This window comes from Homo sapiens, chromosome 1 (genome assembly GCF_000001405.40).
Source record: "Homo sapiens chromosome 1, GRCh38.p14 Primary Assembly".
NCBI lineage: Eukaryota > Metazoa > Chordata > Mammalia > Primates > Hominidae > Homo > Homo sapiens.
The window spans coordinates 44,245,681-44,266,535 of record NC_000001.11 but is presented as its reverse complement, the minus strand read 5'-3'; the positions used below and the strand labels follow the sequence as shown (position 1 = coordinate 44,266,535).

The following is a 20,855-nucleotide window of genomic DNA, read 5'->3' as shown; positions in this document are numbered from 1 at the left end:
ATTCCGAAAACCATCCCCTTTGAACTGTGATAAGTTGTTTCCTGTGCCTGAACCATCAAACCCTAGACTATCAATGTACTGATCTTCTCTACTTGAAAAATCTTAGTGTCTACTGAACAAAGTATAAGCTCTCTAGCCTGACCTTTGAGACACTCCAAGTCCCTTTGAGCTGTGTCAAGATAGCCTGTATGGTCTACTTCCAAGCCTTATTCACTGTTATTCCATTTGGCTAGGAAGTCCTTTGCTGCCTTCTTGCCTAGTGAACTCCTGCTTATCCTTCAAGACTTAACTCCTCTTATGTCCTCAGTGAAGACTTTTCCAGTTTCCCAGTGGAACTTCCTCCCTCTTCACACACCTACATCAAGTGCCTATATCAAGTGCCTTCAGAAAGCTAGGCATGGTGCTAGAGCCTCCTCTGACTTTGTTCACAGTTGATGAGCCTGCTGTGGGTTTCTTGCACTTCTTTGATCAGAATTAACTTCTTTTAAAAAAGAGTTTTATTGAGATATAATTTATATACCATACAATTCACCCATTTAAGGTGTACAATTTGTTTTTTAATATATTTACAGGATTGTGCAACCATCATCACCATCTAAATTTAGATTTTTGTCCCCACTAAAAGAAACTCCATTAACAGCTACTTCTCATTTCCCCGCAAATGCCCCAGCCTGAAGCAACTACTCATCTACTTTCCATCTCTATAAATTTGCCTATTCTGGCAATTCTGGGAACTTCTTGTATGTGGTTTTTTTTGTGACTAGCTTCTTTCACTTAGTATATTTTCAAGGTTCATCCATGTTGTATTATAAATTAGTACTTCATTTCTTTTTACTGCCAAATAATATTTCATTGTATAGATAGTACCACTTTTTTTTTTTTAATTCTCCCATCAGGTGATCAATATTTGGGTTGTTTCTACTTTTTGGCTGTTATGAACATTCATGTGCGAGTTCACTTTGTCATTTTTGCCTTTTTAAAAGAACACTTGTCTGTCTTTCCTAGTACATTGTGAGCTCCGTGAGAATAGGGGTCACTGCTGTATTGTTGACTGCTGTACCCCCACCATTTAGTCTGTGGATAGTACTCAGTAAATGTCAGTGAATAAAAGCATGCAAGCTTTCTCATTCTGGTTCCCCACTTCTGATGTAATAGCAAATTGTTGGGACCTGTTTTAGCCCCAGCCTACTCTGCTGTGAGTACAGCTGTATAGGCATATCTGCCACCTGTGCGGGAGTGTAAGTTCATTCATCAGTGCCCTGGACCAAGCCTCTCTAGTTAAGTCCTTCACCAACAACAGGTGATCTGAGAAACTTCCTTGAGTTGTCCCCAGGGTAGCAGATAATGGCCTCGAGCAGACTCAACACTGACTCCACTTGTTCTCCTTCCCGCTTCTGGGGGCCTCTGAATTGTTTTAAGCATGGAGGGCTGGATCTGTGAGAGGATGCTTGCGGGAGGGAGTGTTGGGCTGGGTGGCCTCCTGGCTCAAGGCTAGGCTGGCTTTATGATAGCTCTGGATACCTGGGCATGTGAGGAGAAGAGGCTGCCCCTACCATTCCAGTCAGTAGCCCATATGAACCAGCTCCATGGAAGAAAAGGAATTTCTAGAACCAGTAGCTTCTGAGAGATTAGTAAAACCAATAGTTCTCTTTTCTTTGTACTTAACTCACCCTAATAGTTTGAGCCCATAATTAGAATTGGGCTTTATTAGGCTAATTAGGAGGAAGGAATGATGGCAGGAGGGCATGTGGAGATGCATCAGCGTGGTGGGCAGTAAATCTAGGCTTTTAATAGGTTTGTTCCATAATCAGCTGATTTGGAAGGCTGACTGGTGGCTGCCCCCCCTTCCTTGTACTGCCACCACTCCTTGAAGTGGCCTTCACACTTTGCCGTCCTTGTCCTCGATGCTGGCAGCAGCGCTGGGATATGGGGGCTCAGGAAGGAGGGAGGAGACCCCACCCGGAGCTTCATTGCCTATGCACGCGCCGTCCAGCCTGGCGGCATGATTACCTTGCTGAGAAATCCGTCCAGGCGCGGGGCTGCTGATAGCAATCATTGATTAAGAGGGTAATTGTCCTGAAAATTCAGATTGATCAGAAGGCAGAAATGATAACTTGTGTAACTGTGTTTAAAGCCACGTCCTGTCAATAGAAGAGACTGAGATGTATCACGCCAAGAGGGGGGCAGAACGGATGGGTGTGTGCGGGTGGGCGGGTGCTGCCATCCTTCTCTCAGGGCTAAGCAGGATGTTTCTTGTCAGTAACCTGGACTATTGGAGATTCAATCACTTTTATCTCCCCCTCTCTCTCAATCCAAATGCCTTTTCATATTAGGAAATTAGAATTGGCCCTGCTCATGCAAGATTTATTAGCTCTGCTGAGCAGTCGCACCGAAGAGTAAATGATTTCGCTTTGCTGGAGCTTTTTACACATTAGGACCCAACTTCTCCTTTCCTGCTCTGTGCTACTGGCTGTCTAGAGGAGGGAGTGAGCTCTAGAACTGAATACTCAGGGAGTGAGGGAAGAGCATCACTTGGATCTGGCTTCTTGATCTGCCAGAGACAGACTGACTTTTGGTATCTGACTGACTTCCTCCTACCTGATCCCCAGACATGTCCCCTACTGGGGTCTAGGGTTGTCTCTCTCCTGAGGAGATGAGGTTTATTCCTCAGACTTGAATGCCTGGGTGGTGGCTTATCTTGGGAGGAAGGGCTCAGGGCTCAGAGAGGGCTAGAAGAGTTAGAGGAAGCAAGGCCAGGGGAGGGGCAAGAGTGTGTGTTGGGTGAGGTTTGGCAATAGCAGCATAGAATAGGGAGGACACCATGACTTCTCTTCTCAGAGCCCAAGCCTATACTCCTCTCAGGAGTGGGGCCACAAGGGCCAGAGCATCTTTCTGAGCCCCCGGGGAAGCTGTCCAGGAAGCCACCTGGTTGCTTAGAGAGTGTGGAAGCTGTTTAGAACAAAGCTGAGGGTGTCTGGGCCTGCTGCCTGTCTGTATCTAAGGTACTACAAAGTTGACTCCGGCTGAGGCTATCTGATCTGCCAACAACACAGGCTCTTAGTGGAAGAAGGACCAGAGATCCATTCCAAGTTTCTGGAACCCTACTGTGACCTTGGGCTGAGAGGCAGTGTGGGCCTGTGTGGCCAGTTGGACCCAGCCTGCCCTGAAAGCCAGGGCACCAGCTGGCTGGGCTTATTTTAGGGAGGACAGTTCCCCTTCACTGAGACTGTACAATCTCCTTCTTGCTTTTCGTTTTCAGCCCCTGACCTCCTTGGGTCGCTTGGGCCCATGGATGAACATCAGTTACTATCATTCTTCCCCCTCCCTTTTCCAAGTGTCTGATCCTGGAGGGCTAGTGAAATAGAAAAAAGTGTGAGAATCCTTCTGATGTAGGAGCTGAGGGAAGGTTAATGGAACTTCTGGATTTTTTAATGAAAGGGATCCCAAGGACTGCCCATTTCAACATCCCTTTCCCCTTGTGGTTTGCTCTTTTACTTGGCCCTGTGAAGCCTCTTTTTTTCTGCTTTCAGGTTATTTCCCCAAGTGGAAATGTGACTGGGCAAACTTGAGAGCTGTGGCTGGAAGTGATGGGGTTCCTGGGAGTGAACGGTGGGAGTAGGCAGCAGCCATTCTGGCCCAGAGAAAGGCTGAGTTTTGGGGCAGGAAATAGAGGGAGGGAAGCAGGGAAGCTTTTGGGAGGAAAGAATCTGGAGAGTGTCAGTAAGATGTTCCCTAGATGGGACCTGCTCTAAATAGACCACCAGGCCACCAGCTTTCTGCTGAAGGTCCGCTTAGGTCTTTCCTGTACCTCACAAGGCATTGTCCTCAGAGAAGCCTTGACACTTCTAGAAGGCTCCTCCCGCTAGGCTGGATTGGGCAGGGCAGATCTTCCCTCTGCCTGTGCCATCCCCACTGACCCTGCGCCTGCCACAAGCGTGCTAAGGGATAGGGTAGTCTTGGCAGCCTGGTGTAGCCCCACCTCCCCCACTCTGCTAGATTGTGAGGGCGTGGGTGCCCAGATGGAAGTGCTGTGCCATGGGCAGCTTCGACTTGGAGATAGAGAACTCAGAAGACAGATTCCCAGGGGAGTGAGAGAAGCACACCATCTCTACAGGGTAATATAAATGGTGTTGCCTTCCAGAGCCCGGAGAAGGAAGGTTAATGGAACTGCTGGATTTCCAGAGAGGGAGTAATTGAATTCTCCTGCGAGAGCTCAGATGGGCATCCAGAAGGGGGCCTTGAACTGGGCCTCTGTGAAGGATGGGGACTGTGCTGTGGAGACAAGTGTAGGCTAGCATGGGGCAGAGAGGACAAGTGTCAGAGATCAGTTGGTTAGGGTGGGGCTGGGCCCAGTGGGGGTTATTGTCCTTGTCACACTTCTCCATTATAATATGGAGACATGGACCAACTTCTGCTTTAGCGAGCCTGAGGGACACCTACTTTCACCATCTGGCTGGGCTGCGGTGGGTGGAGGGCCTTGGATTGCACTGTCTGGAGCCTAAGGTTGGAAAGATGTGAGGACAGAGCCTTCGGGAACGACCCCAAGCAGATCCTCCCTCTACTCTGTTCCCTTCCTGTTCTGCTGAAAGAGCAGGAAAAGGGTGAGGTTTTAGGTTAGGAGAACAGCTCTGGGAAAGCTTTAGGCATGCTTTTGCCACACCCATTCCCAGCCCTGTCTTGTACCCATACCCAGCCCTTCTGCCAAGGGCCAGGTGGGTTCCTGGGCCTGGTTGGGAAGCTGGGAGTAGATGGGAAAGCCAGGAGACTCATTTTCACTGGAATTTGACCTAAAGCAGGATTGGAAGGGAAGAAAAGAATTTGAACAAAAGTGCAGGCAGGAAGGAGCTGTTAACGAGCCTTTCTTTCTCTTTGGGGACGGAGCGGAGCGCATAGCGGGGCGCAGCCGCCAGCTCTCCTCAGAGCGGCTCTCTAAGGTAGCTGCAGTCTCTGGCCGCTGCCTGCTCTCGTTCGCTCTCCTTTTTTCCCTCTCCTCTTTCTCAGCTCTCTCTATTATGGGGACTTGCTCCAGCTCTTTCTCTCTCTTCTGTCTCTCCTTTTGTTCTCTCTTTGTCTATTTATCACACTGTGAAGGTTGAAAGAGATGTTATTAATCTGGGAGAATGAAGGCAGGATTAGTGGTATGAATCGGATTTTGAGAGGTGTAATGATAGAAAGACTCGCTCGGCTGGCGGCCTGCGTGAGCTTGATAAATGGGGAGCACTCCAGACTGACTCGCGCCTTCCTCCGCGCTGTGCGCCCTGCCCGCTGGGGCGTGCCACGCTCTCAGATCTGCCAGCCGGCCCACCCCGCTCCTACCTGAACCGGAGCAAAAAGCCAAGGGTAAAGCAGACACAAATATCTCCCATCACACTTGGAGACATCATTGCTTTTAGCACCCTTTTCAAGTCGAGGCCTGTCGAGTTCTCAAAGGACTGTGGGCAGAGGGAGTGGGGACCTAGACTTCAGGCTAGAACAGCACCTGCCTGCTTCTAGGACCTGTAAGAAATGGATGTCAGGGGTCAGGGAGTGATAAAAAACAATCCCTAGACCAATCAGGTAAGAATACCAGACCCTATGTAAATACGTGGTTAAGCAAAGTGCTGTTGAGAGAAATGGGTGTGGAGGTCAGGGTGGGGCATGGAGGAGTGGGAAAGAGAAATCATGAAGGGCTTCCTGAAGGTAGTGTCCTAGCAGACAGGATTTGGAGAAGGGAAGTTGAGCGTTCCAGGTGGGGAAATATAGTATAAGCAAACATGTGGGGCAGAAATAAGCCTGACTCTTGGGGTGGGGGTGGGGGAGTTGAATGAAGTACCTCAGATCTGATGAATTTCAGATCAAGAAGAGACCTAAGAAATCCAGTAAAGTCCCTCATTTTTCAGTGAAGAAACTGAGACCCAGGGGCTAGAGTTTCCATTTCTGAAATTCTTTTTTATCCAAGCCCTGTTGTTATTTCTAAAGGTACTCCCTTCTAGCCATCCAGAGACTATACAATGGGCCTCTCTCCTCTCCTCTGTGGCTCTGATCACGTCCTTTCAACCTTCATCTTTGTAACCAGAAGGTCCAGGCTTAGGTTCACTGCTACTTGGTCTCCAGCCCCTTCCCAGGAGGCTTGGCTTTAGGGTCCTCCTCACACTCCTGCCCCTGCTCAATCCGCAGTCTGTGTGGGTCATGCTGTCCCAGCCAACCAATTGCTGCCTGTGCAGTGAGGCAGGATCAGAAGCAACACACACCATTCTGGGCTCCAGAGGCCACTGGTCCTGAGAACTTCCCTCCTCTCAATCCCTACTGTGGGTCTCTCCACTCACTGTATCACAGTTATGGGCCATTACTGGTTTCTGTGTCTGTTTCCCGTCAAAGGACTATGAGTTCTTTGAGCGCAGGTCTACATGTGATTCTGTTTGAGTTGCTGGGTTCTGGCAGGCCTTCAGTGAATGTGTGAATATTCAGTGAATGAATGCTTGTGTACTTTCTTCCTCTCCTTCTAGATGGAAAATCTAGAAGGATCTATTATCTTGGTTCTCTATTAGTTTTTCCCAGGCCTGGCTACCCTTAGGAATAAGGAGGGGTAGATGTGCAAAGGAACTACTGTCTGTCTGTCTGTCTGTCTGTCTGTCTATCTATCTATCTATCTATCTATCTATCTATCTATCTATCTATCTAGAGGGTTTTCCTCTGTCACTCAGGCTGGAGTTCAGTGGCACAAATACAGCTCACTGCAGCCTCAACCCCCTGGGCTTAAGGGATTCTCCCACTCACCTTAGCCTCCCTAGTAACTAGGATCACAGGTGCACGTCACCATGCCTGGCTAATTTGTGTGTGTGTGTGTGTGTGTGTGTGTGTGTGTGTCTGTGTGTTTTGTAGAGATAGGATTTTGCCACGTTGCCTAGGCTGGTCTCGAACTCCTGGGTTCAATTAGTCCTCCCCACTCAGCCTCCCACAGTGCTGGGATTATAGGCATGAGCCACTGTGCCTGGCTGGAACTACCTTTTCATATTGGTAGAGCACCCCAAGATCACATAGCGTGGTAGTGGAGGGCCCCTGAATGGCCTTAGGAAACAGTACAAAGCCCTTACCGTGTCCTTTGAGGTCCTGCATGGGCTGCATCTCCTGCCTTCCTCATCAGCCACATTTCATGCTTGATTTTCTGTGCTCAGGGACTCTGGCGTTGATTTGATTCCTTCCAGGCCTTAGCATGCCCCCAGTCACCCCACCTCTGCCCTTCCCCCACCCCACCTCCAATCAGTCAGCCAGGCAGCCAGGCAGCCAGCCAGCTTCTACTTACCTGTTCTCAGGGAAGCATTCCCCACCTAAGTCAGACTCCCCTTTTCTCTCCTATTATAAAAGCTTATGTGTCTTGTTGGAACCTTTATTACAGTTCCTTTGAGCTTAAGTCTCTTGGAGAAAGCTGTGGAAGCTCTCTGAGGACAGTGTTGTGCTCTGTTGCTATATATGTGCATATAGCCTGGCATGTAATAGGCTCTCAGTAAATGTTTGTTGTGAATGAGTCAGTGTGATTCCAAAGCGTGCACTCTCCATCATATTACAGTAGAGTGAAGACTGATTTGACCAAGGAAGATACAGGAGCCAGGATGTTGGGTGCACCCCAAAGAGAAGGTTCTTTGGGCCTTAGCTCTGGAGGCTGGAATTTCAACCTTCTCATCCTTTTTTTCCCTCCAAACATCAGAGAAGAGAAGGGCTTCATCTGATTCTAAAGGTTTTTACTTTCTTCCTGGGTGATCTTATCTACTCTTAGTTTCTTGTACCACTCATCTGCTTCTTAGGATTCTGTCTCAGCTCAGACCACTGGTCTGAGCTCCTAGCCTACACCTTCCCTGGGTGCCCCACCTATGGCCCACTGAAGGCCGTGTGGGTCCTTCTTGCTGATTTCCTTCAGTGTTGTTTTGCAAATATGTTTACATGTCTCTCCTTCTAGCCTGGGAGCTCCTTGAGGGCAGTGGCTTGGTCTGCTTGACCTGTGTATCTCTAGCACCCAGCACAGGGCTTGGCACATGGTAGTTCCTCAATAAATGGGTGTTACATGAACAATCTAATGAAGAGGGAGGGGGATCTGGGATGAATGTTTTGAACACCCTTCTTCTTTTTCCCAGGGGGAAAGAAAGTGAAGGCGTGTATGCTGTGTGCAAGCATGCATATACCTTTGTATGTGAGGGGTGGCTGGGTGGGTGGTGGTGGCGGTAGTGCCGCATGCTCAATAAAGGATTATATTTTAATTTGGAAAGCACTTTAGAAACTTAAAGTGCTTTGCCTAAGTGCTGACTGCTATTAGTGTCTCCTTTTTATTAGGAAAAAGGACATGATTTTTCTCTTTTATCTTCAGGCCTGTCCAACTTCTGAGAGTCAAACTTAGCAAAATGCCTGCCCCTTACTGAGGACTAGTTACATGCCAGGTTCAAAGCTTTGGGCTTGAAACACAGAATTCTGCTTTGCAGACTGGTTCTGACACCCCTGAGGGGATTAGCCCTAACAGCTCAGTATCAGGAAGGGGGGTGGGAGAGACAGGGTCATTTGACATAGTTCAAGCTGCAGTCCCTAGCCCCTCCTCTCTCCATCTAGGCCTGGGTGGGAGAACATAAGAACTTAGACTGTTTTGGGGAAATGGAGGAACATCCCAGTGGTTATCAAAACTCACTTGTTATATGATATGAAGGGCCAGCTTCTGCGAGAGGATTGGGGAGGAATGGCCCCAGGGAGTTGGGTTTGGTCAGCTATCACCAGGGATGATAGGACCAAGAGGCAGAGACATCACAGCTGCTGGACCTGGTGCTGTTAGGAGCTGTCAGAGGGCTGGGTTAGAGGGAGGGTGTATGTGTAGCAGTAGCAGAGGGAATTCTGGCGCAGGAGGCCATGAGGGAGAAACTCACCCCTGTGCCTTACAAGCACCTTTGAGGGCCTTGCTGAAAGAAAAGGTGACATCCCTCCCCATGGAGATGATTTGGTGCAGCAGTGGTGGGAAGTCTGGAAGGCCCCAGCTAAGCCCTGTAGTTGGGCCTCTCTGTTTGGCTTCTGCCCCCAGGCTTCTTTCCTGAGGAACCACAAGATGGACCAGCACCCTGGACTGTCTCTGCCAGCCCTGGATGTGGAAAGCTCTGCCCATGACTGAGGCACTGGGAGTGGGGCTTTGGCCCAGCTGGCAAGTGCCCTGCAGTCCCTGTCTCCTGATCGGGTCCTGATCTGGGGGAGCTAGGATGGGGGTGGGTTGGGGGGAGTACATTGAGCCAACTGCCTTAACTGAATTTCCATACCTCCTGTTGTTAATTATAGAGATGTAATAATGCGATTAGTGCACGATTAAAAAAAATCCCTGATATGATTACCATGGATTTAATATCACATGATATATCATTATATCGTTATGCAGTGACAGATGTAATTGAAATACACTTATTGGAGCCGGGGGTGGTGTTTCATTCAATCCCCAGCACCCCGGGGAGGAAAGGGCTGGCTAAAAAGAAGCGGTGGGAGAGGAAATTGTAATGAAAACAAAGAAAACTCACAATGTAGCTCTCACCCTGGGCAGCTGGCTCAGACTGACCTGCTGCCTTAGACTCTGTGACAGTGCACGTGGAGCCCCAGACAGGCCACCCTCTTCTGCAGGGACTGAGGCAGCATGGCTCAGGAGCTACTTATCTTATTCTCAACCCAGAAACTTCACTGTCCCCAAGGCCCCTCTGACTCAGCGGTGAAGCCAAGAAATCTGAGAGCAAGAAAGAGAAAACTCCACCTGAAAATACTCGGGACCATAATACTTGGGATCAAACTGAGCTGGTAGCTGTCTTCCACTCCTGGGACCCCCAGTACCAAATGCTGTGGGACTTAGACCTGTGGCATAGCCCCTGCCTTTGCTGTAGTGGTGGCCCAGTGCACTAGAGGCAGCCATCATGTTGGAGGCAGTGAGCAGTAAGGTTAAGTACACAGAGACGATAATTATCCCACTCAGGTTCCGTTGATGAAGAGAGGCAGCAGCAGCTCTGGGGCCCCTGAAGTATGTTGGTAGCCGGAGAACACTGTACACACAACAGAACTGCCATCTGGGGTTAGGGAGGATGGGCTTGTGTCACCTGATGCAAGTGTCCATCCCTTTGCTGCTTTAGCTGTGCGGGTCAAGCCTCTGCTGGACCCGAGGAATGGGTTGGGGGATATACATAGGCTGAGAGTACAGAAAAGGAGGAGACAGCAACAGTTCCCTCTTCCTTAAAACAGGCAACTGAGCCCCCAGTTCCAAGAATGGCTGTGGGGTGGGCTGTTGCTGTTCTGCTGGGCAAGAACAGCTATGGTTCCTGAAGGAGACTGGGTAGGATTGGCAGGAGTAGCAGCTCCGGAAACCAGGCCTCCAGGCTTGGTAGAATTATACCCAAAGAGGTGTCTTTTCTTCCTCTCCCCTTCTCCTCTCGCTTCTCCTTTTCTCAGTGGAGACCACTCAGAGACAGCAAATACAACCCCCCAACCCCCTCAGGAACCTCTCAGCATAATGGGAGACAAAATCCATGTTACAGGTGCCATTCACAGTATGGGGGATTTAAAGGAGGGATGAGCCAGGAAAGACTATAAAGGAAGGTACTTTTTGAATTGAATGTTGAAAGAGGAGTGTGTGTTCAAATTAGGACAAAATGTGGGAGAAGGCAGAGGGCGTTCTAGGCAGGCTGAAGGAACTGCTTCATCAAAGGCTTGAAGGCATGAAACAGCAATCCCAGGACTTGGTGGGCAGTAAGGAAGAGGAAGGAATCAAGATTGACTCCCACATTTCTGGCCTGGTAGACCAGGTAGATGGTAATAGCTTTCACTGCAATTTGGGAGCCCAGGAGAAGAAGCAGTTTGAAGAGGAGATGTTGAAATGAGCTTTAAACATATGGAGAATGAAGCGTCTGTGTGAAATCCAGGGGGTGATTCGAGGTAGGCAATAGAATATATATGTCTGACACTCAAGTAGGGGTAAGAAATACAGATTTGGAAATTAGAAAGGTTGAAGACAATGGACTTGAGGAAATCACCCAAGGAACCCAAGGAGAGTGGTAGCATGTAGAAAAAAATAGGAAGAGAGAGTGCAGAGTGGGTGAGTACACAGATACGATGACCAAATGCAGAGGAGACTATACAGGAGATTGTGGGGAAAATGGCAGAGAGCTAGGAAAACTGAGTAGAGTGTCAAGAAGGGAGAAGGGTTTCAGAGATGGAGCAGGCTGCAAAATGGCGAAGGCAGGTAAGAATCTGAAACTGTCCACAGATGTGGGGCAGCATGGCGGCAGCTTGACCAGACTGCAGGGAGTGAAGGAGTGAAGGAGGAAGGGAGTGGAGGCAGTCTTGAGAAGTTGGTCGTTAACAGGAGAACAGCAGTAGCTGGATAGGATGTGAAATGCATATAGAACTTTAAAAATAATCTAAAACTTAACATAGGTTTCAGAGAGCCAGGCAGTGTTTTAAGCACTTTACAGACAGTAATCCTCATTTAATCCTCACATCAATTCTATGGGGTAGAAACTATTATAACCCCCATTTTACAAAGAGGAAACCAAGACACAGAGAAGTTATGTGAAAGTGATAGAAATCTAAGCATATGCTTGAATGTTAATGAAGAAGCCAGCAGAGAAGAGGAGGTTAAGGATTTAGAAAGACAAGAAATACTAGATGGAGCAAGGGCCTGAGGAGGTGGGGAAAGGATGGCCTGTAAAGCACAAGTACGGTGTTGGCCTTAGACAAGAAGCGTAGTGTCTCCCCTGTTAGAACAGGGGAGGTGAAGGAGCAGGTGGGGAAGGATGCAGATGCATTTGTAGATAAGGGGCATGCAGAAAGAGCTCTGCCTAGTGGCTTTATTATCTTTCTGGAAGTAGGAAGGCATTAGGGTTGGTGAGTACCATTGAGGGTTGCTAAGGCTGTGGTCTTGGATCTGTAGTAACCACTTTCTGTATATAAGAATGACTTTTTCTGGCATTGTTGAGCTCAAGAGCAAGTGTGGAGAAATGGAGTCATGGTTGGGGTTTTCCAGAAAAGGTGTGCTCTAGGACAAGTAGGCAGGGTGTTAAAAATTGGGGGATGGGTGGTTGAAGTGATAGATTCAAGGGTTCAGGCTTAGTAGAAAAGTACTGAAGCCCGAAAAGGGGATAGACAGACTAGGGGTAGGCGGGGGCTGGGAGGAAGCAAGAGCAGAGGGAGAAAGCAAACAAAAGCTAGAAGGTTAGGAGGCTGGGGCCAGAGTGGAATTCGTCCTTGTGAGATTTCAGAGAGAGGGCAGTTCTGGGTGATAACAAGGCTCAGGGGGTGGCTCTGGGGAAAGATGACTGAAATAGGTAGAGGAGAAGCTCATTAGAGCACAGGGAGTCAAGAAATTGAGAGGCAACGTCCATGGCTGGGTTATCTTGTAGATACTGAAGTTACCCAGAGTGATGATGATTTGGAATGAAGTCCCAGAGGGAGAGGAAGAATAGTCTAGAAGCAGCAGGAAAGAATTTGAAGACATCTGCAGAGTATATCCAGGAGTGAGTTAGGTATTGGCTTGCCAGTTAGTGTTGCTGCATAACTGATCACCCTGACACTTAGTGACTTAAAATAACAACAAATATTGTATTATCCCTCATGGTTTCTGTGACTGAGGAATTCAGGAGGGGATAGGTAATGTGGTTCTGGCTCAGGATCTCTTGTGTGGTTATATAGTCAGGCAGTGGCTGGAGCTGGCACAATGGTCAGAGCAGTTGCGGGCTGGCTGGGCCTCTCTCTTTCTTCACCGAGTCTCATGGCTTCTATCTGTGTTCTCTCTGCATGGGTTAGTTTGGGCTTCCTCATGGCATGGCTACCTTCAGGCAGTCTCACTACTTAACACAGCAGCCCCGGACTGCAGGGAAACTTTCCAGTGATTGAGGTGGAAGCTGCCTAAGCATTTTTGCAGTAGTGTTGAAGGGCAGGGATGGTGACAGAGACTTAGTCTTGATGGTAGGTATGTCAGAGTCACAGTGAAAGAAGAACATGTGAGATGGGAGATAGTGTTGCAACCCATCACAGGAAAATACACTCTGCCACAACTGGTATTAGGCTGAACCTGGAAAAGGGTTCCCTGGGAAAGGGAGAGGGAACTGTATTCTCAAAGGCAAGGTGCATTTTGAGCAATGGCACCAAGAATATCTGGAGGTAGCAGTGGGAGTGAGTAGTCCTGGGTGATCTCAGATATACCTGGAGGAAAGTACTGTCATCCCATCTCGCAGTACAAGAAACTGAGGCTCAGAGAGGTTTAATAACTCATCCAAAGTTATAGTGCTAATAGCTGGCAGAACTGAGCCTTTCTATGAGGCATGGGCTGCTGGGTGTGCCATAAGTATATGTGGCATACTCCAGCCTAGTGTTTACCTGTGCCCTTAGGTATTTGGCTCACCAGCTGTGGAAGTGTTGGTCAGGATAGAGAGTTAGGTAGTATTTGTGTCTGCCAGACTTTCTCTTCCCTATCCTCTGGAGTATCACCATCACAGCTTCATCTCTGTTGGGGGTTAGGGGAATGGCAGTTGGTTTGATTTGGCTCCTAGTCTTGAGCAATCACCTGCAGGGTGACAAGTCATCCAGAGGTATGGTTAAAGGCCTGCTCCTCCTCACCTCTAGGTGGGATGGATAGGCTGAATGTGCTAGCACAGGCTTCAAAACTCTGGTTTTTCTGAAAGTTGCAGAGCAGCCTATTCTGTCTGCAGCCTGAGCTGGGTTCTAGCCATTTAGCCCAACCACAGCCCTTCCCACTGTGCGTCCACTCCACTCTGAGGGTCCTGGTAGGTAGTATATGGGTGGGCAGAGATACCATAGCAGCTGCTGAGGCCTCTTTCCTCTTTGAAGGATCTGATGCTGCAGCCGATGAGGGCTACTTCATCTATTAAACCCAATACACTTGTCGCAGCTGCTAAGCCCCCATAAGCCGCCGGGCGCCGTGTTTGTGATGGGACTGACAGTGCATGGAGGAGGCTGATTATACACGATTCCATTTCGCGGGCCCAGCAATGTAATTTCACAGGGCGATCAGTGTTTGCATGTAATAGCAGGCTGCGCTGAGGTGTCAGAATATTAAAGGCGCTAATGGCAAAGCTCCCTGTTACACAGGGGGCCACCCGCCGCACCTACAGCAGGGCTATGCGGCAGGCCCGTCGCAGATGGCTGGCCACTAAGCTAATGGGGCAGCAGCCAAGGCGGGCAGAGCCACGAGAGGGGAGAGCCAGCCGGGAGCAGCTCGGCACCTGCTTCCCTGTGCATGGAAATTGCAGCAGCCCAGGGGAAGGGAAGCGTGTGTGCGTGCCTGCCTGGCACAGGGCTGAGGTGGTTTGGCTTGGTAGGCCCAGCATCTTTCACCTCAGCCAGCTCCACCTGTCCCTGTGGCTCGCATCAGTACCTGCCCTGGACAGGACTCAGGAGCACCTCAGTCATCTTCCTACCTGCCCCACCCTCTGTCTGGGAACCCCAGGGGCTAGGTGCTGACTGTGCATAGCTGGGCAGGTGGACCCTGATGGCTGAGAGAGATGCAGCCAAAGAAGTGGCACCCAGAGGATTTGGAAGCAGCTTTGGGAAACAGGCTCGGGCACAAGCTCTTGGAGAGAGCTCTTAAAGCAGATTCCTGCCCCACACTGATCAAGATCAGAAAGCTTCTGGGCCCCATATCCCCATTCCCCCAAGCTGGCAGGAGAGGGAAGGGAGCAGTGAGAGGGAGCAGGCAGGAGTAAAGAGATAGACACAAGGCCCCTTGATGCCATGTTGCTGCCAGGTACACAGAGTTGAGAGACAGTGCCTTCAGATGTGGCTCCCCTCTCTAATTTGGCTGTCCCAGCCACACCCAAGCCTTTATTGTGCTTGCTCATGCCACTTTCCTTTGTCTTTGCTGTGCCTTCTGTCTGGAATGTTGTACTCCCCTGCCACCTGTCAAACCGTCCCAGCCTGCCAGTACCACTCCCTCCAGGAAGCTTTCCTAGCCTCCTCCAATCTCACCAGGGTCTGCTTGTCTTCATTGTCCCCTGTAGGCAATCCAAAGGGCTCAGCCTTGCTGATCCTCCTGCTCTGATGGGTCTCTGAGTGCCAGCCGTGGCTCCTCAGCCGGAATCTCTGAGACATAGCCCATGACACCTCACCCTGATCAGGACTCCCAGGAAGGTCTCTGCTGAGATTTGTAGACAGATCCAATCTCTTAAGGAGGGCGAATGGAGGGAGCAAGTAATGGAAGTGTGGCAGTCACCTGAGGGCAAGTCCGATGCATTTGTGGCATGCCAGCATATATGCGCTTGGGCCACTCCATGGCCTGCATATCTTGTGGGGAGAGGCATGGGCTTTAAAAGTGAGTGGTGGGCACAGATGACTACAGGTGCAGCGGGGTAGCAGGTGTGAGGATCCAGACCATATGTTGGCAGACCATATGTTGGCAGGAGCACAGGTTGCTGTGGGACCACCTATGTTTTGTGGGCAGCTATCTGCGTCTGTTGGCTGTGCCTAAGCAGTACCCAAGATGGCAGGAGCTGGGGGGAGCATGAGGTGCTGGGCCCTGGTACTATGCTTAGGGTGGCCCCGTGAGGCTGGTGGTCACATCTGAAGGTTAGGCTCTGCAGGTGCATGTGTCAGTACCTGGGGAAGACGTGCCAGGGCTCTCAGCAGGGCCAACAGCGGGAGAGCCCAGGCTGAGGGAGAGCAGTTTTAATTAACCGTTTTTAATATCATTTTGGACTTTGGCTGGTATGTGAAGGTCCCGCTGGAAGCAGCATTTGTAAAAATTAAATCCCTCTTATTAGGAGCTTGGCAGACCCATGTGCATGCGCCACCCCCTCTCCCGCCCCATGCCCCCCCTGAGGAAGTGCTGGATGAGGCCATGTCACAGCAGCAATTGGTTATCACGCCTTATCTGGGAATATGAAACTGTGCGGCATGACACCCACGGCCGCAGTGGAGACGCCAATTCATCTCGCCCTCGCTCTGACAAGCCAGACTGCCCTTCCTGAAAGGCATCTGTCAGGCGGGACCGGGTTGCCTCCTTTCCTGGCACCTTCGCTTTCCTGCCAAGGGCCCAGCTTTCCCTGGTCCAGCCTGGCCCTCCTGGGGCTCTGCTGTCCTCCGTCCCCCTTTCACACGTCCCAGTCTGTGGAAGATCTTGGGGAGTCATAATTACAATAATAATCTAATCACGGTGACGCGGTGGGGCAAGCATCTAATGTTATCTGAAGTGGTCTTCCCGCTTAGCTGCGATAAGACTCAGGATGACGTGCAGATAACGTTGAGCTGCCCTGTCCCCGAGCCATAAGCAGAGCGGAGGGGCCTCGGCAGCCCTGCCGCCCGCCCGTCGCTTTAAGCTGGGAAGCGGCAGCACCTGCTAATGCAAGTGTTTAATATTTGATGGGCTGGGATAAAGCAGGATCACCTTCGAATTGAATTGAGTGTCAGCCGAGAATCTATTACTGAAATTCGGGTGTGATTTGACAGCAAAGTAGACGATGTTATTCTTCACTAGTTACTGCAATCTTCTCCCCGACATCACTTAAATATTTTTTTCTTTGCTTGAGTAAACACACATTATCCTTCTTTTTTCCCCCTTCCTTCCCTTTTTCCTTTTTAGAGGGGAAAAAAACCCATCCAGCTCGTCTTCTCCAGGCTGATAGAGTAGATTGTTATTTCTTTATTTGTCCTATTAAATGGAATTTCTGATCGTTTAATCCGGCCTTTGTAAGTGATTTTAAAGTACTTGAAAGGCAGCCGCCACTGCTCTCTGGCCCACTGCGCTCCAGCCTCAGCCCTGACCAGGCTCAGCGGCTCCTCTGGCTATGCACCACCCACTGGCTGCTTCCCTCACTGCCTCCATCCCAGCTCTGCCCTGGCTCTGGGCCAGCATCTTCTCCCCTGTCCTTGAGCCTCACACTCAGCCCCTGATTTGTGGGTTCAGCTGTGGCCTGGGAAAGGGTGGGGGAAGGCTGGCTGGGAAGTTGGGCTGTGGCTGGTACCTCTGCGGTCAAGGAGAATGGCTTTAGAGGGTGCTAAGGTTTAAGTACACTTTCTCCTAGCCTCCTAGTACCCATGGGGCTGGAGTGTTGGTTCCTGCAGCTGGAAAGGAAGGGTGGACACAGAATCTGGGCCCTGGGCCCTGGCACAGACACTGTGTGCAGCCTCCCATTTTGTGTTTCTGACCCTGTGCTGGGCCCTCTCCCCTGTGTGTTAGTGGGATGGAGACCTCCTGGGACTAGCAAAGGGCTGGACCACTGCGGTGCTCATCTACTCACAGCTGGCAGTCACTTTGGTTCCATCACTGGACCACCTATCCAACTTCTGGAAACTCACCCAAGCTTCATTCTGACCACTGCCCTGTACGCTGTCCTGCCACTGGTAGAAGGGCAGCCTGGTGTTTGGGGACTTCTAAAGTGAGGGGATGGGTAATGTTTGAAGGCCCGACTAGCTACCAGGCCTACCCGGAGAAGCCCAGGATTTGGTTAACAGGCTGAGCAGGAATTCAATCCTATTTGGCTACTTCATAGTGATCTAACCTATGTTAAGTCTCTTCTTTCTGGGCCTCAGTTTCCTCATCTGTGGCATCAGGTCAGTCATGGCTAAAAGGGACTGTAAGGGAAGGCGCTGCCCCTGAGCTGCCGTGTGTCCCCCCCCCAGGTGGAGGTTGCTGGCAGCCAGGTGGTGAGGGAAGGGGATGGAGGGGGGGCAATGGAGTGCTGGGGCCTGAGCAGATCGATGCCCCCAGCACTTCCTTCCCCAACCCCAGGAAAACAATTAAGTACAGATCGATGGGTGGCCGCTTTGAATATGCATAAGTGAGCACTTGACCTTCAGCAGAGCATCTGCTCCCCCTACCACACACACACACACACACACACACTCTCTCTCACACACATACATACACACACACGCCCCATGTACACCCCTCCCAGCTGCTTGAGTTGACCAAGTGACCTTACTCCTCTCCTCAGTTGAGCCACCACAAAGCTCCCAGATCCTTTCATAGCCTGGCCTGCTTGTGGTCAAAAGCACCTTGACCATGGCACCTTGCTGGCCAGCTCTCACTTCAACATTTCTGTCTGTGGAGTGCAGTTTGGATGCACTGGTTTCCAAGGTCCTGCCTGAAGCTAGTCTTTGTGAACAGTAATACTGTGAGGAGGAGGCCCAGCAAAGTGCTGGGGGCTCCGGAAAGGGGAGATCCTAAGGAGGGGTGCAAGGTGCAGGTATGCCCTTGTGAGAGGAGGGCTCCTGAGAAGGAGGAGCCTAGTGAACGGGAACTCCTTAGAGAGGAGTCCTGGTGAGGGGCACCCATTGAGGGCCAGGGACTCAGATGGGGAGAAGCCCAGGAGAAAAGGCACTCTGGAGAAGGAAGGGAGTTTCTGCTGGGTCTGGGGAGGACCTGGGTGGAGAAGGGACTCTCACGAGATGGCATTATGAGAGGGATTCCTTGTTGGAAAGATTTGGGGGGTGGGGGGAAGACCTTGTGAGTGGGGTTGGTTCAGAGGGTCAGGGCCTCCGTTAACCACTTGCCTCCTGTCTTCCAGGCTTACAGCTTCGCCATGGGCTGCTGGCCCAAGAATGGACTTCTAGACATGAACAAGGGCCTCAGCCTGCAACACATAGGCCGGCCCCACAGCGGCATTGGTCAGTCCCTTCGCATATTCCCCCGGCAGCTCCATCCATCGTCCCTTGCCCGCGTGCCCCAGTCCCCAGGCACATAGAGAGTTTCCATGGCTCATTCAGTGCCCCAACAGGGCTCTCTACATAGGTGGGGGGATGGTGGAAGGGGGGTGGCATGAGAAAATTACTGAATGGGACCACTGGAAGGCACCACTCAAAGTGGTATTTTGGAGGAGGCTGGGGTCTGGGCTTTGGGTGAGTCACAGATGGCCTTGGACTCAGGCCAAGGTCCTCCTTCACTGGCTGCATCTCTAGTGGGCAATGTCCTCAGTGGGTGGGGACATGTCAGCTTACCCACCCCCCATGGAGCTGGAGGAGGCTGTTTAATATTGTTTGAAGTCTGTGGCCACTAAACTGGACGATCAATGGGAGTTAAGGAGATGAATTATTTAAACCTCACCAGCTTTTAATTAGTCGGGGTCCTTCTGACCGATGACTCCGTCCACAGGGTATTGACTCCCCCGCAGGAGCAGCAGCCTCCATTGAGCGGTGCCTGGGTTGAGGGGGTCCACTTGGGGTACCAAATGGGGGTATACCCTCAAGGGGATTCTTGTTTGGAAGGAAACTGGAGTGGCTATGATTCCAGGCAGTTGGAGGTTTTGTTAGTTTCTGATCTATCAGTATGAATATGTTATCTGTCTGTATCTGTGTGTCTGCATATGTGTGACACCTTTAGCTGTATGTCTCTGTGTCAGACTCAGAGTATAATGTATCCATGATTATACATGTCTGTTGGGGAGCGTGTAACAGTATATCTGTATTTTTCTGAGGGCATGAGTCTGTGTGGAAGCAGCTACCAATCTGTGTGTGTATCTGTCAGGTGTGTCTGTTCAGTTCTGTATATCTTATTTTGTTTGCATATGCACATGTGTGCATGCAGATGCTCTCAGGTGAGGCACCTGACCAAGCATAGGCCTTGTTCCAAGTGGGGAGGAGCCAGAGTATCTCTGGGCAGTGTGCTGACATTACCACAACCTGTGAGCCTTTGGGGTCGCATCATTGTGGGGGGGGACTGGAGAGAGAATACCAGGACCAAAGGACCCAGTCACCTCCTTCAGAGTAGATCCTTTATCCATTCCAGACATTCACTGGTACCTTGTGGATGCTGGGCATGCTAAGTAGAAGTTTCTGTTCTCAGTGAGCTCACATCCTGGGAAGAGACAGGGACTGAAATAGGTGCTTGCCACCCAGGGTACTAAGGGCTGTGACAGAAAACACCTGGGTTGCCCCAAAGGTGGTTTTCCCTCTCCTCAGTTGCCAAGTAGCTTCTACTTTTTCAGTTACCTCTCACTAAGAGGTAGTGATATGGGGGCATCTCACCCCAGGAGGGATGCCCCCATATTCTTGTTGGGACATCTGAAGGGTTTCCCAGGGCTCAGGCTAAGAGGAAGTGACCAACAGGCCTGGGGAAGTGGGGGTGCTCCACCATAACTGCTGTTCCCTCGCATAGATGTTTCACAGATGTTTTCCAAACAATCTAGAGAAGACGCCAAACCCAGCAGTGTAATATGCCTGGGAGGTCAGCAGGAAGTTTCCTAGAGAAGAGGACACTTGAATTGGGATCTTTGAAAGATGAATAGGAGTTTGCTGGGCAGAAAAATGGGGGAAGGGTATTTTAGATAGGAGGACTCAGTAGAAAGGCCTGTGGGCATGAGAAACCCAGTGTGTTGAGGACAAGTTCAGACACCTACAAGAAGCTTCCCATGACTAGAGTGGCAAATTTGGGTTAGGAAGCAGCTAGAAAATAAACAGAGATATAAGCAGGCCTTGAATGCCTGGTTAAAGGGTGTGGACTTTTCCTGCAGTTTTGAGGAGACATAGGAGGTTTGTGAGTGAGAGAATGACGTGATCAAAGCCCTGATTCAGAATCAATGAGGCAGTTTGTGTTGCACAAAACTAGTTCTTAGTAGGTGCTCAATAAATGCATATGGGTGGTTGAATGAATGAGTAGGTGAGTAAATGAATCAATGAAAGAGTGATGGGAAAGGGAGGAACCAAAGAGGACCAGTGAGAAGACTTGCATTGGTCCAGGGAAGGAAGAACTGGCTGGGGGCTAGGGACAGCCTGGGTTAATGCACCCCACATATACTTTATCTGGGTGCCCCTTCTATCATCTATCCCAGGGTGTGTGTGTGAGAAGGGGTTCCTCGTTCCCACTCTTTGTGCTTCTTGAGACTCAGCAATGCCCCTGTTATCTGTTCACCTGTTGACCCTAGGTTAGG

The 20,855-nt window shown here is 50.3% G+C and overlaps 1 protein-coding gene and 1 non-coding gene across 17 annotated transcripts in view, besides 2 other annotated features; both read left to right on the top strand.

Annotated features, from left to right (window-relative positions):
• The window catches only part of ERI3 (ERI1 exoribonuclease family member 3), a 134,210-nt gene that overhangs the window by 88,744 nt on the left and 24,611 nt on the right, over positions 1-20,855 (top strand). For 12 of the 16 annotated variants that reach the window (XM_017002305.2, XM_047430144.1, NM_001301699.1 and 9 more), the window contains one exon: positions 18,498-18,597. The exons of the other annotated variants lie outside the window; for them this stretch is intronic. In XM_017002305.2, the coding sequence (XP_016857794.1) occupies positions 18,498-18,597 (100 nt within the window). The remainder of the gene's footprint in view (positions 1-18,497; positions 18,598-20,855) is intronic. 16 annotated transcript variants of the gene reach the window in all.
• Positions 13,977-14,192, top strand: SNORA110 (small nucleolar RNA, H/ACA box 110). Its single transcript, NR_132966.1, has one exon. It is a non-coding gene; the product is annotated as a small nucleolar RNA, H/ACA box 110 (small nucleolar RNA).
• Positions 16,079-16,788: an enhancer, noted in NCBI's record as "VISTA enhancer hs277". NCBI's record gives its function as "enhancer in: midbrain (mesencephalon)[3/4]" and the evidence as "EXISTENCE:transgenic organism evidence [ECO:0001131][PMID:17130149]".
• Positions 16,890-17,501: an enhancer, noted in NCBI's record as "H3K4me1 hESC enhancer chr1:44714707-44715318 (GRCh37/hg19 assembly coordinates)". NCBI's record gives its function as "activates a minimal SCP1, AML or CMV promoter by ChIP-STARR-seq in primed H9 embryonic stem cells {active_cell/tissue: H9 hESC(primed)}" and the evidence as "EXISTENCE:reporter gene assay evidence [ECO:0000049][PMID:30033119]".